Genomic DNA, 14,615 nt, shown 5'->3' with positions numbered 1-14,615 from the left:
TTAGGGGCTAACATTATAAAACGTCTAAAAGAAAACACAGGTGTAAATGTTTGTGCCCTTGGATTAGGTGGCTGGTTTTTCAGATGTGACATAAGAAACTAAAGAAAAAATAGATAAACTGGCCATTACAAAATTAAAATCTTTTGTGCAGCAGAGGACACCATCAAGAATGTTGAAAGTTAATCCACAGAATGGAAGAAAAATGTGCAAATTATATGTCTGGCTTGTGTCTAGAATATATAAACAATGATTACAACTCAATAATAAAAGACAAATAACAGTTAAAAATGAGCAAAGGATCTGAAAAAAGTTTCTCCAAAGAAAATATACAAATGCCTAATAAGCACATGAAAATATGCTCAATATCATTAATTATAAGGGAAATGCAAATCAAAGCACAATGAGATGTCAGGATACACTCACTAAGATGGATATAATTTAAAAAGGCATGTAATAACAAGTGTTAGCAAGAATGTAGAGAAATTAGAACCCTCACACAGTACTGGGGGGAATGTAAAATGGTGTAGTCCCTTTGGAAAATAGTCTGGCAGCTCCTCAAATGTTTAAACATAAAGTTAACATATGATCTAGCAATTACACCACTACAAATGTATGTAAAATAAATAAAAATATATGTCCACACAAAATTTGTCCACAAATGTTCATAGCAGCATTATACATAATGGTCAAAAATTGAAAAAATTCAAATACCAATTAACTGATGAATGGATAAACAAAATGTCATATATCCACACAATGGTATATTATTCAGCAGTAAAAAAGAATGAAGTAATGACACATGTTACAATATGGATGAAGCTTGAAACCATTATGCTTAAGGAAAAAAGGGAGACACAAAAGATCACATATCATATGATTCCATTTATATGAAATATCCAGGACAGGGAAATGTATAGAGAAGAAAAAGTAGATCAGTGGTTGCCTAGGGTTGGTGCTGATTGGGAGGTGGGGGATGACAGGAAATGAGAAGTTAAAGCTGCATGGTTCAATATTTTTTTGCGGGGTGAGGTAAATATTCTATAATTGATTGCCACATTGGTTACACAACTCTTTGAGTATATTTAAAAAACACTGATATTTAGAATACTTTAAATGAATGAATTATGTGATTTGTGAATTATATCATAATTTAGCTGTTTAAAAAATTCTAATTACTAGAACCAGAAATCAAAGTCATGTTTAACAACTCACTATTATGAGGCCTTGATTTTGAAAGCTACCAATTTTAGAATTGAATCTACTCTGAAACTGTTCAGAGTAGATTCTACTTGTTTGATTAATACTTGTTGCATCTCCTTCGGCATGAAATGAAACCTTTAAAATTCAGTTGTAAAATAAAAAAAAATCAGTGAGGTTGTCCAACCTCTGTCTCACAGCACATCATTTAAATTTAGCCATCTGTTGTTGTTCTTCATCAGTCTCTCCTCTTTTTTTGAACAACTTCCTTTGTAATCACAAATTTGAGAGGGGGAAGGTAACCCTTTTCTTCATTCTCATTTATATCCTATCTTTTTCTAAGTTGGTTTCCAGTTTTCCATATTTCTCGAAAATTGATCTACATTTTTCCTCCTCTAAGCTGCTATTGGCTGAATGTGTACACCCAAAACTCCTAGGTGGAATCTGTAATCCCCAATGTGATGGTATTTGGAGGTGGGGCCTTTGGCAGGTAATCAGGTTTAGATGGGGTCATTAGTATGGAGCCCCCATGATGGGATTAATGCCCTTATGGAAAAAAAGAAAAAAAGACATCAGATCTCAGTCTGTCTCTTTGCATATACACACAATGAAAAGGCCTTGTGAAGACATGACTAGGAAGAAGACCCTTACCATAAACCCAACAACAATGCTGGCACCCTGATGTCAGACTTCCAGTTTCCAGACCATGAGAAATGTTTACTGGTTAAGCCTTCATCATTTTCAGATTCCTTTCTGTAAAGACGTCTTAGGTATTTGCTATAGTTGTTTGTTTTACTCCATCTCAACTTTGCTCACTTAAAAATTACGCATTCTTGGTTTGTGGGTTTGACTTTGGAAACTCTTTTTCCTTCTTTATCTTGCTCATCATGACCTTATTCAAAATTACAATATTCTCTTTAAGTTGCTTCCACCTATAAAGTTGTTTGCAGCTCAAGATCACACCTTGATTTATTGGGTGAATCAAGGTTGAAGTGTTTAGGGGAAAGAAAATGACTTTTATCTGACCATCCTCACTGGTTAGTGATTCATTGAAATGTAAGCCTGGGGATTATACAGAAGTCACAGTGCCCTGACTTCCTCTTCATTGAGTTATAAAATGTTATGTTGAAAATGCCTGACTTGAAGAATATAGTTTTGAAAGAACCATTCTGAAGACGATGCTCTGATGAACCAAACATTTTTACTAAGTTTATATATCATAGATAATGCACTGTGTCCTTTTACACACCTTTGGGGAGCTTCGATTTTGAATGATGATTGACTTTAACTTAGTGTCATCTGCATTTATATATAGAATCAAACAGGTGCTTTTTACTTTCCTCCTGGACATGCAGACATCTCTTTGGCTTGTCTGAGTGGTTTTTCACACTGGCTTCCAAAATATGTCAGTTTCATCCCCATTGTAAAACTAAGCTACACCCAGTTTCTCCTGTTTAGATTCACATTGGCAATTTTTGTCCAAATGGCTCAACACTTGGTAAATACTGAAAACTTGGAGAATACTGACAACCCAAGATATTCAGCTTCTTAGAAAGATGATTCTGTAAATATGAAATACCTTGCCCAGAGAACTATGCTAAGCACTGCAGGAGATAAAGATGGAAGCAAGATTTCTGTCCTCCAGGGAAAGCATAATGTAGTAGAAAAAGGACAGGATATGACAACAGGATACCTAAATTCCTGGCTAAAATCTGCCACTGGTAATCTATGTGACCCTGAACATGAAGTAGTAGGTGAAGTCATGTCATGTCATACCATTTCAAATTATTTATATGTCAAAGAGAAGTATAAATGGGACCTATCTCAAAAGGTTAAAATCTACCTAACAAGAATAAAACAAGATAATGGTTGGGGAGCACATGTCTGATAACTAGAATATGGTTTTGAAAATGTAAGGGACTGTTGTTTCTGATCTAGCGAGAGGCTTGACCAGGATCAAATTGCCTTTTACTCAAGGAGGCTTTTGATAAGTCTAGTGACTACAGCTGGAGCTCTCTCTGGCTGGGACTCAGGAAGGCCCAGAACACAGCTCTGCCCACAAGAGTGCTGAACTGGTTCTGACTTTGTGAGCCACTCTTCCGTGGCCCCTAGACCTTTGAGGTGGCATCTCTTACTGGGTGAGGCTCCTGGTAGAATGGGCTGCCAGCCGCCAGGAAGCCAGCAGGAACAATCTGGATGCACAATACGTGGCAAATCAGGGATAGGAGACCTTGGCACCAGGAGTCTGTAAGCTACATGGCTCCCAGGGAAGAGCCATTTGAGGGGCTCCTCTAGGCTTCCAGCAGGGCTAGAGACTCGGTAGCATTAACTCTTTCTTGCATCCAGGACCTAACTGGAGCAGGAGGCTGGTTCTTCTGGGATGGAAAGGACCCCCGGGACAGTTCCTAACTTGGCTAGGCTGAGACTTCGCAGGTAGAGGGAGGGGGATAGCTGGGCGTAGCTGTCACAAAGCCACCGGAAATGCATCTTTCATTTTCTGGTTGATTCCGGTTCAGGTCCACAGAACTCGACCCTGGAAGAGAGAGTCGGGGTCAGGTCTTCGGGAGGTGGAGGGATCGAATGAGGGAACTGATATTCCAAGACTCCCCACATCTTGGAGCTTCACTCGCCAGGCATCCCGCGCTTTCCTGACGTCGCTTCCCCTAGTGGTGCAGCAGCGGAGAGCTTTGCTACCCAGAGCAGCAGGGAGGCGTGGCCACAGAGGCAGAGGCGTAGTCGAGCCGAGGAAGAGGAAAGTGGCCTCCGGGGAAGCCAGAGCTGACTGAAGGTAACCGAGAAGCTGATTTTCTCTTTAGATTCGTTTTAGCGATCCCCTGAGAAATACCGGCCGCTCCTGCCAGTTGCAGCCTTTGGGGCTGCTGCGTAGCAGGGAATGAGGGTGGGGGATGTGATACAGTATTTTTCAGTGGGCAGTGGCGCCACTGACAGGCGGCAGGTCGCCTGGAGAGCTGGTGGGAGTTGTCCACAGCGAGGCCGCCTGGCCGCAGGCTCCTACAGCCACTTCTTACCTATGGAAGCAACTTCTTTCTACCGGATGTACAAATATAACCCAGGGATACTAGTGAAGCACACTCAAAGGTTGCCCACGTTCAGAGTTCTTGTGGGCATCCCTGTGGTTGATCTATAAGTTGTAGTGAATCAGGGATGGGGATTTGGGGCAGTAATGTCTACCACCACACTCAGCGAAACTTCCTGATTTTTGATGGCTTATGAACATAACACCAAAGAAAGGGTCATTTCAACATTAAAGACAATGGCTTCTGCTGACAAAAAAATGTAAGAAGTGTTCCTGTACCTCCTGAGCCTGAATGGTCAGCAAGGAGCCAACCATTTTTTTGAATACCTGTGGCATCCTTGAAAGAATTTTGTTACTGTTTCTGCTGGATCACCTCAGGGAAAATCAGTTTTGAGGACATGTTAAGTCAGGAGAAAGGTTACCATTACTAAGACCCTTCCCATCTATAAAGAACCTTAATCATCACCATCTCTCTTTCTTTTTTGTTTTTAACCACCTGACATTTGTATATATGTAAAGGAAGACCATCTGTAAATTTTTCCAGTTAAAGTAAACAAAAAATTTAATACGCAAGTACAAACCTGTGCAGTGCCCTTTATAAGTCTTTCGAAGAAGTACTACACCCTGCCACATCAAATGTTGATGATCTGCTTGCTTAGCGGGAGGGCATTTGCTTACTTTTTCTCTAATTACTTTACTTCTACTCTGATCTTGCTGTCTCAGTTCTCCTACCAGCATTGATACAGTATAAAAGGGAATATTAAGAGTTCCATTTAGTAAAAGGCTTCAATCTAAATGAGATGAAGGGATATAGAAACTGTTTTTCCTCTGACTAAAGAAAAATGATTGGGATGATCTGTTAAAGTTTCGAGAAACTCAAATAGGCCCTATTTGCCAATATAGGACAGGAAACCCACAGATTAAGTATTGGATAATCTCAAAGCTCCTTTTGGCCAATTGGTGCCAGTTTTCTCACCCACCAATCTTTCCTCAACTGTTAAAAAAAAAAACAGGAAATACATTGATTGACATTTGTCTTCTCTTAGCTGTGCTTTGTTTCAAAGTTGAAAAACAAAGAAAAGGAGAGAAACTTACCTCCTGAGTAATCTAATCATGAATGTTCTAATTCTTGGCAGTTGATTTTAAAGAAGAAGCCAGACAGGAACTTTTCTCTTCATTTTCCTCTAACAATAAATAGCAAGTAAATATGTGTCATGTGATTTTCTTCTTGACATGTACTTTTCTTCTGCTCTCCCTCAGTGCTCTTGGGAAGAACAATTCATTGATTTGGTACCAACCTGATGCACCCTGATTTGTCAAAGGTGGTACCAGGTGGGTGTCAGTGTCACATACAAGAGTAAAACTGTTCCTAGAGCAAATGGCGATGAGAGAGCTGAACGCGGATTCATGCTCAAGCCCCCAGATGGGGGCTATGTGGGAGACTAGTGGGTCTGTGAAAGAGAACTCCAGTCAGAGTAAGAAATACAGCACAAAAATAGAGAATCTTGGTCCTGAGAGCGCTTGCAGGCACTTCTGGAGCTTCCGTTATCATGAAGCAACCGGACCGCTTGAGACTATCAGCCAACTTCAGAAATTGTGCCATCAGTGGCTGAGGCCAGAGATCCACTCAAAAGAGCAGATCTTGGAAATGCTGGTGTTAGAGCAGTTCCTGAGCATTCTGCCCAAGGAGACCCAGAACTGGGTGCAGAAGCATCATCCACAGAATGTCAAACAGGCTCTGGTCCTGGTGGAATTCTTGCAGAGGGAGCCTGATGGAACAAAGAATGAGGTAAGAAGAAAGATTGCCTACATGTACAATGAAGTAGGATAAAAGTGGATATATCAGAATGGAGGAGTTATCAGAGAATTAGACAGATTAAGTCGCTCTTCTGTTGCTCCTTTAGGACAGCTAGCAAGGATCTGAAATGACATACATGCATCAATAGTCCACAGGTTTCAAGATTTCTGGCAGAGCCTTTCCTTGTCTTAGAGAAAATAAATGCATTTTGTCTTCTCTAGGGCCAGGGTGAATTGATGGTGGTGGGCCTAGTCTGGCATGGGCAAGGACAAGAGTTGAGTTCTTAGAAAAAGAGAAATAAAGGGCAAGAAAGAGTTGGGAAAGGGGAGAAGATCCACAAGATGGGCAGCACTTACAGAGACCAAAGGAGAGAGAGGTTAGCAAACAGAAGTATGAATCAAGCGGCTCTGGGGAGACTGCAAAGAAAGAGAACAAAATGGAAAGAAAAAAAGGAAACAAGGATATGGAAAGACGACAATTGCCAACAGAGAAGTGGAGGGAATCAGGATGCTAAGGGGTAGTATCTTCTATAGCAGAAACACACATCTCTGGGCTGGGAGGAAAGAGCCTCCATTGCCCTCACTTAGTGGCTTGTCATTGGCCCTTCTGGTGAGTGGGAAACCAAGGTTTGTCCTTGGAAGATGGCAGCACACTTTCTTTTTTCAGGAGCCTACCTTGAAAAATCCAGGGCAGGCCATATTTTTGGTGTCTTATTACTACCAAATCATGTGAAGAGAGATTAGAGCCCAACTCTTCTCCCCATTTATTCTTCCATCCATCTCCATTCCCTGTGAAATTCTTTCCTGGAGGATTGGAAACTGGCTAACAGGAAAGTTTATTTCACTCAATTCCTTTTCTTTTACAGAAAACCAAAAGATAAAAATTCACTAAAACAAGGATCCAAGTCAAGAAAGTAAACCAGTGAAAGTTCCCCAGCAGGGGAACAGGCTGCCTACCCAACTCTGCTAGTGGCTTGAGCCAGGGCTCTGTGCATCTGGGTGGGGGCCACTGGGTTGGGGGGCGGGGATCTGCAGTAGTCACAGCTTTTTCTATTTTATCCTAATTATCCCAGATTTTGAGTATAGTTCTTTATGAGAACATAGTGGCACAATACCTCTTCATTCTTTTTATTACTTCTCTAATGTCATGCATTCCCCAAATCTGGGCTCTGCTCTTGTTCCTCCCTCCACTACCACCCCAAAACCAAAAGTAAGTTCTGTGCTAATGAGGATGGGGATTATTTCTAGGTCACAGCCCATGAGCTGGGAAAGGAGGCAGTGCTCTTGGGAGGAACAGCAGTGGCCCCAGGCTTCAAGTGGAAGCCAGCAGAGCCCCAACCAATGGGTGTGTTCCAGAAAGAATATTGGAATACATACCGGGTACTACAAGAACAGCTGGGCTGGAACACTCACAAAGAAACCCAGCCTGTATATGAAAGAGGTGAGGAGCTTCATCATAATTGTCTTCTCCTGGGAGCTGTGGTAGTAATTAGTTCACCTAGAATGTCCTGGGAATTTTCCAGGTGGCCAGCCATGCTAGCAGCTATGATGTCTCCCAGGTGGGAGTACAGTGGGTTGATGGTGGTTGAAGGTGGGGGTCAGCCTGGGGGACAGAAATATCCAAACCACAGAACCCTGCTATTCACACTATAGACTCTACTCCTTTGAAACTTGAGAGGAGAGAAGAAGATGGAACAGGGACAGGTGGGGCCACCTCCCTCTCATAAGTTGTAGGAAAAATTGGGGACAGACATGGGCTATCAGTGGCAGAATGTGATAAAAATTGTGCACTAGGAAAAAGTAATAAAAGACAAAAGTCTCCCACATTACCTACTGTACACTGGAGGACCTGAGCCTTTCATTTCCAAACCTTCAATTCTTGCCCAGCTTATGGTATGAGAGGAAAAATGAATAGATTTCCTTTGATTAATTTCTTTTATGAAATCTAAAGAGTTCATGAACTGGGGAACTGGTTGTATGAGTGGTAGATATTTGGTTCTTATTTACAATGAGATGGCCACTTCTTGGCACCACACACACACTTGTCAATGTGACCCATCTTTACTGAAGGCATCCTGATGTTCTTTATTTTAGAAATCAGCTTGGGATGTTTGTAAATAGGAAACAGAAATTTTCCCTGGCTATTTTCTACCCACAGCTGTGCATGATCAACAGATGTTAGCCCTTTCTGAGCAGAAAAGAATCAAACACTGGAAGATGGCATCTAAACTCATCCTGCCTGAGTCCCTGGTGAGCTGTTATTTCTGGCTTTTTTCAGGTGACTTGACTGTGGCCTTGCCTCTGCTTGTCCCTATTGCCTAGGACTCATAGTGTCCAGCAGGTGCTTTGAGGCATTTTAGCCCCAGTTATTCTCTAGGCAACTAGGCTTGGCACAGTGGGAACTGGGCACCTCCCAGGTGATTTACTGATCCTCTTTGCTCCTTCCTTTCTGCCTTCTCACTTTTTTCCCCTAAATCTTGTACTGTTCACATCTTCAGCACCTGGCCTACCATGTAATTCAGAAATGGGTGGTAGGACAGCTTCTGAAGTGGCAAGTACTAAACTATAGCCCATTCTCTTCTTTAGAGTTTGTTGACATTTGAAGATGTGGCTGTGTATTTTTCTGAGGAAGAGTGGCAATTATTGAATCCTCTTGAGAAGACTCTCTACAATGATGTAATGCAGGATATCTATGAGACTGTCATCTCTCTAGGTAAAGATTCTTCCTTCCCATTGTGTAGAAGTTAAGTAATATATTATGTCCTCTGTTTATGGAAAATGCACCCCTGTGAGAGAGTCCCACTGTTCCAACAGCTGATTGATTCTCAACTTGATGATGTATGGGAAATAAAGGGATTATCAGGATCCCCTGGAGAGCTTTTTGTAAATACCTGTCTCACTTCTGCATTCTAAATGGAATTATTTTGACTGTGAAAGATTTTACTTTTTTTATCTTTCATCCAAACACACCCTTCTCTAAAAAACATAAAAGCATGCACATCAATGGCATTATTCCACAGAAAAATTAATAACTAATCTGTAAATCAACAACAATAACAATGCAAACAAAAGTTTAAATGATATGTGGAAAGATTTACAGGTAGGCATATGGCTCTTAGTTTAGAAAATAATAATTCAAGTCAATATCAATAAAAGTTAAGGAAAAGTTTCTAATTTCCAAACATTTTTATACAATTTTTTTCCAACTACAATATTTTATAGATCTTTTGTGAGAAGAATATTAGCGTAATCCTAAGAAAGATAACATTCAAGTGATCCTATGCAGGTCAGGTTGCCTTGTTAAAATGAGTTAGAATTCACATAATTCCAATAGTATTATTGCCTCTTGAAATTTAAATGTAGAGCATATCCATCATATTCAAAATGAGTTCCACAACTTACATTTATTTTGATCTAGTTGGAAATAAACCCTAAATTTAGGAATGGTAAAAAAATATATTTAACAAAGACATGGGATTGATCTAAATTTTACTTCACAGGTAAGAGAAAATTACAATTCAGTATGAGGACACTTCATAAGTTTTACCAATGCCCCCATTTATAATTAGGCCAACTGTATCTTGAGTGTATATGAATGTTTGAATAAATACATACTAACATATACAAACCAATTCACACCACACGACTCTTCAAAGATGTTGCTTGAAATGGCTTATTCTCTGGTTTGGGATAAGCGGTGTAACACAGTCACTTAATTTTCTCTTAATCATTTTTTCCCTTTTGTTTATCATGATTCACTTAGTATGTTTCATGTGGGTCATTGATATATTTTTGCAACAAAAATCCAGTAGCAGTAAGCAGAAATGTTAACTTAAAGGACTACTAGGCAATCAAAGTTTAAATTATCACATGAAAATAGAGCAGATCACACGTAAAGGTCTTCTGCCATGGGATATATTGTTCCATGACTGAAAATTGTGATGTGGTTCCTAGAACATAGCTCTTGCTCTAAGGTGATACATATTAATGTGTAGCTCCAGTCCTTACAAATTAAGTCTGTATTTTACTGGTTTGAGAAGGTGAATTTCTGTGTGTGTGTGTGTGTGTGTGTGTGTGTGTGTGTGTGTGTGTGTCTGTGTGTGTGTGTGTCAGAGTCTCACTCTGTCACCCAGGCTGGAGTGCAGTGGTGCAATCTTGGCTCACTGCAACCTTCACCTCCCAGGCTCAAGCAATTTTCCTGCCTCAGCATCCCGAGTAGCTGGGACTACAGGTGTGTGGCACCATGTCTGGCTAATTTTTGTATTTTTGTTGGAGACATGGTTTCACCATGTTGGCTAGGCTGGTCTCAAACTCCTGACTTCAAGTGATCCCCTGCCTTGGCCTCCCAAAGTGCTGAGATTACAGGCATGAGCCACCACGCCTGGCCTGAGAAGGTGAATTTCTTGCCACAAACAAATGCAAAATGCCTCTGCAATAGCGGGTGAAGCCCACTCCCAAGGGCTTAAAGAGTTCAACTTTGAAATAGGGCAGCATGGGCTGCCTCTGCATTTCTTCATAGCAAGTCTATATGCAAGCCACTGAGCAGCACCACTGATGGGAATCCAAAGGAAAACGGCTATAGCACGGTGAAAATCCACCATGGTAACATAAAGTGATTTCTCAATTAAATATTTTGCTATATCAAAGAGAAGTAGGCAAAGGCACATGGTAGTAAATCTAGTCAGAATGTCTGCAGGTCCCCATTACCTCAAATATCAGTGAACTCAGGGACCAACCAAGGTTTACACTGATTATTTTGATATATATAAAAAACAAAACAAAACAGAAAACCTTAACGTTTTCAAGCATTTATGGCACAGACATAGGGAAGTACAAATATCGTAGCTTATATCTTCAAAAAGCTGGGCAATTTAAAGTGCTGCTACAGTGAATCAGAGTCACAATTTTAACTTCATTCTTATATTTGATACATTTTTGTGTGTAGAGTACAGGGTGTGCAAATTAAGCAATTTCAGTAAATATTAGAAATGTCAATTATTTTGCAAATATAAAGTGAGTGAAATCAGCTAATAATGCAATACAATAAGACTTGTGTTAAACAGAGCTTTTTCCCCATGAATACTTTTTACTCTTTCCTTTGAACATCTCGATACTTAAATACATTTCCTTTTATTGGCTTGCAGAAATTAAGCAAAAAGTGAACTATTACCTAGCTACAAGATACTAAATAGTATAAGAGTTTGGAGCTGTCCAGTTGTAATAAATAGAAAATAACAAATATAGTGAAATATGCTGCAAGTTAATGCTCAAAAATGCAGCCTTCTGAGTTACAAAGTACACAATCCTACTAGTCTTCTGAAGTTGTCATTAGTTCATGGAAAATGTAAAAAAGAGCAGAAACTCCATTTAGCTTTTACCTTTCCAGCAGCTCCAGTGCTAAAGTTATAGAATCATGTATGTTTGCCCAAGACCAACTGCACATTGGCGCTAGTCACATATTCTATTTTATCCAGAGTTCAATCAACAAGTCTTTATTTGCACTTCTTTTTACATTCAGGAAACAATAAGCCTACCCAGGCAGCCTTCTGTTGATAGTTGCCTTCTTCTGTTGGGTGTGGGGATATAAGCCACCCTGCTATGTTATTTTTTTTTTCTGGGGTCCTAAACCAGTTTGTCTTTTTCTTACCATTTTTAGAATTTTCTTTTTGTTATCTCATATCACTTAATGGGTTTGTTTTTGTGCCTATCAGGGAGGATCAAGGAGAAATGGGTCTATGCCATTTTGTCCAGACTGGACCAGAAATCACTTGTTCCTGTATTTCTTTTAAAGCAATCATCATTGACTTTTCTCTCCATTTATGTAGCTTTCTTTCACTGGGACACAGATGGCTGATTATTCTGTTTATTCTAACAGGGTTAAAGCTAAAAAATGACACTGGAAATGATCATCCTATATCTGTTTCTACATCAGAAATACAAACATCAGGATGCGAAGTATCAAAAAAGACCAGAATGAAAATTGCCCAGAAAACAATGGGCAGGGAAAATCCTGGTGATACACACAGTGTACAGAAATGGCATCGAGCTTTTCCAAGGAAGAAAAGAAAGAAACCTGCAACTTGTAAACAAGAGCTTCCAAAACTTATGGATCTTCATGGGAAAGGCCCCACAGGGGAGAAACCTTTTAAGTGTCAGGAATGTGGGAAAAGCTTCAGAGTTAGCTCTGATCTTATTAAACACCACAGAATTCACACTGGAGAGAAACCCTATAAATGTCAACAATGTGACAGGAGGTTTAGATGGAGTTCAGATCTTAATAAGCACTTCATGACCCATCAAGGAATAAAACCATATAGATGCTCATGGTGTGGGAAAAGCTTTAGTCATAACACAAATCTACACACACACCAAAGAATTCACACAGGAGAGAAGCCCTTTAAATGTGATGAATGTGGAAAAAGATTCATTCAGAACTCCCACCTTATTAAACACCAGAGAACTCACACAGGTGAGCAGCCTTATACGTGTAGCTTATGCAAGAGAAACTTTAGTAGGCGATCGAGCCTTCTTAGACACCAGAAACTCCACAGAAGAAGGGAAGCATGTCTAGTGTCTCCAAACTGAGGAAAGTTACCATGTAGAGCTTGACTTTAGAAGTGGTGAAAGAATACAAAATTATGAGGCACCCAATGATAGGAATCTGTGATTAATAAAACATTTGGGAAGGGTACATGTTACACTTCACAAAAAGGAATCTAAGCTGTCTGTTTTATTCAGCATTGCATCTTCTGTGCCTAGCACAAGAGTTGATACATAAGGAGTACTTTATAAATAAAAAAATGAAAGTGTAGTGATGAGATTCCTTTAGCTATCTATCTATATGTATATATCTGGTTATTCAAAGCTTCCCCACCCCCAGTCATCTAAATTTTTCAGGTATCAAGTGCTCAACAGACATATGATAGTCAAGGCTCTTAGTCTCATTTTTTACTCTTTGTCAAGAGAAATGGAAAATAAGAGTACTTGGGCCCTCTTAAGGGAGCTCAGAGAGAATTACTAAATTAGGGACAGTTTCAATAGTTATCATTCTGTCTACATGAACAATCAAGACCAGGACTCAGGGAACTTTACTCTGTAACAGAAAGAGAGGATTCAGTGTTTGCCCTGGGAGAATTGTCCCATTCTTGTTGCTTCTCTCCTGAGTACCCACTACCACAATGTCTTCTGTCAAGGAATTACAAGTAGCAAGGGAAGGTCTGAATGTAAGGACAGGCCTAGGGACCTTGCAAGCACTTGATATCTCTCCTCTTGCTGACTTTGTCAACATAGACATATAGTGAAATGATGAGGGAGGCAGTCTTGGCCCTCATCCAGGTATCTGGTTTTTTTTTGTAGAAAGCACAGATAAGTGGTAAATGGTCTTTTTCTGACTTTCATTATGTGGACTGGATGGAGGCTTTCAAACTGGTGCCATACTGCTGCAGGACCTAAAGGGAGCCCCATCTTTATGGCTGATCAACTACAACCCTATATGCCTGAATACTCTGCAAGAAGGCCTGGAGATTTTGCAAAACTGATTTATTGAGAATGGCAAGGAGAGCCTTGTGAACTTTTAGCTTTGGTGCACAGCTGATACCAGGAGGGAACATCCTGAAGTGTCAGAGAAAAGTAAGGCATATGGCTCACAGTGATGATGCCAGTCAGAGCCAGGCCAGATGGAAATTGTTTTCTGATGTTACTGGTTTTCTTTTCCCTATTAGCCAAAGTGACTATCTCTTAAGAGAAGATAATGTGACGTCAAGGGAAGTTGGAAGGCATGGATTTATATCTATGTCAGATCCTGGTTTATAATGTTGGCCAAGGCTTATTTATATATGTTTATTTAGTATTCCATAAAATTGTACTTCGTAATGAAAATGACACATTTTATCTTAAATTTAGACAATAAACAAAACTTTGTTACCAAATCACTCAGAAATGGCCAATGTTTGCTTTTTTGAAATGGATGTCTTCAGATATTTTTTCCACCAAGAGACCGTTCTAAGCCTGTTTCCAAATTTATAAAATGAGGATTATAATTCCTACTTCTTAGGGCTACTGTGAGGATTAAATGCACACATGTGAGCATGTCTGACACAATGATTGGCCACATTTGGTGTTTCCTAAACATTTGGAACTTTCTTCATTCTTCCTTCACCTAGTTATTTAGAAAAGAAAATAAGCTTTGTCTACTTGCCCAGCTTTTAAGCATTCTTCATTAATGAGTTTTCCATCATTTCTAGCTGGTTTTTAGGCCCACTAATGATGGTCAGAATGGTAGCCTTCTGGCATGACATTCATTTGGTTCTAGAGGTGCTCCTCTCTAGTCAGCCTGAAACAATACACTGATGTCCCAATTCAGCTAGCTATACTGCTCATGAGTAACAAAACCAAAATATACTACAAACCCTCAACTTGAGATTCCTGAAAATGGAGGGGAGGTGATGGCTAGGGGTGGAATTTTTGTGGACAGTATTTATGCTACTAGGTGCATCCTCAAGCCAATAAAGTAGAAATGAAAGAGGAAAGAGGTGACTGCACATAATGGCGACTAAAAAGAATGAAAGTGCTAAGCCAAAAGGAG

At 40.0% G+C, this 14,615-nt stretch overlaps 1 protein-coding gene and 1 pseudogene across 8 annotated transcripts in view; one reads left to right on the top strand and one right to left on the bottom strand.

Moving 5' to 3' along the window:
* ZNF75D (zinc finger protein 75D) overlaps window positions 1-14,615 on the top strand; it is a 95,521-nt gene that overhangs the window by 44,357 nt on the left and 36,549 nt on the right. For 2 of the 8 annotated variants that reach the window (XM_047442485.1, NM_007131.5), the window contains exons 2-7: window positions 3,714-3,985; window positions 5,495-6,023; window positions 7,280-7,472; window positions 8,190-8,281; window positions 8,618-8,744; window positions 11,907-13,962. The exons of 1 other annotated variant lie outside the window; for it this stretch is intronic. In XM_047442485.1, coding sequence (XP_047298441.1) covers window positions 5,613-6,023; window positions 7,280-7,472; window positions 8,190-8,281; window positions 8,618-8,744; window positions 11,907-12,616 — 1,533 coding nt within the window. In that variant the 5' untranslated portion in view covers window positions 3,714-3,985; window positions 5,495-5,612 and the 3' untranslated portion in view covers window positions 12,617-13,962. Of the gene's footprint in view, window positions 1-3,713; window positions 3,986-5,494; window positions 6,024-7,279; window positions 7,473-8,125; window positions 8,282-8,617; window positions 8,745-11,906; window positions 13,967-14,615 lie in introns of those variants that run through there. 5 more of the 8 variants (XM_047442487.1, XM_011531397.4, NM_001185063.2 and 2 more) reach the window with 5 other exon arrangements.
* On the bottom strand, window positions 1,919-2,712 carry LOC100421043 (tigger transposable element derived 7 pseudogene; annotated as a pseudogene).

This window comes from Homo sapiens, chromosome X, assembly GCF_000001405.40.
Source record: "Homo sapiens chromosome X, GRCh38.p14 Primary Assembly".
Classification (NCBI taxonomy): Eukaryota; Metazoa; Chordata; class Mammalia; order Primates; family Hominidae; genus Homo; species Homo sapiens.
Note: the sequence above shows the minus strand (reverse complement) of the source record. Positions and strands in the feature narration are given on the sequence as shown.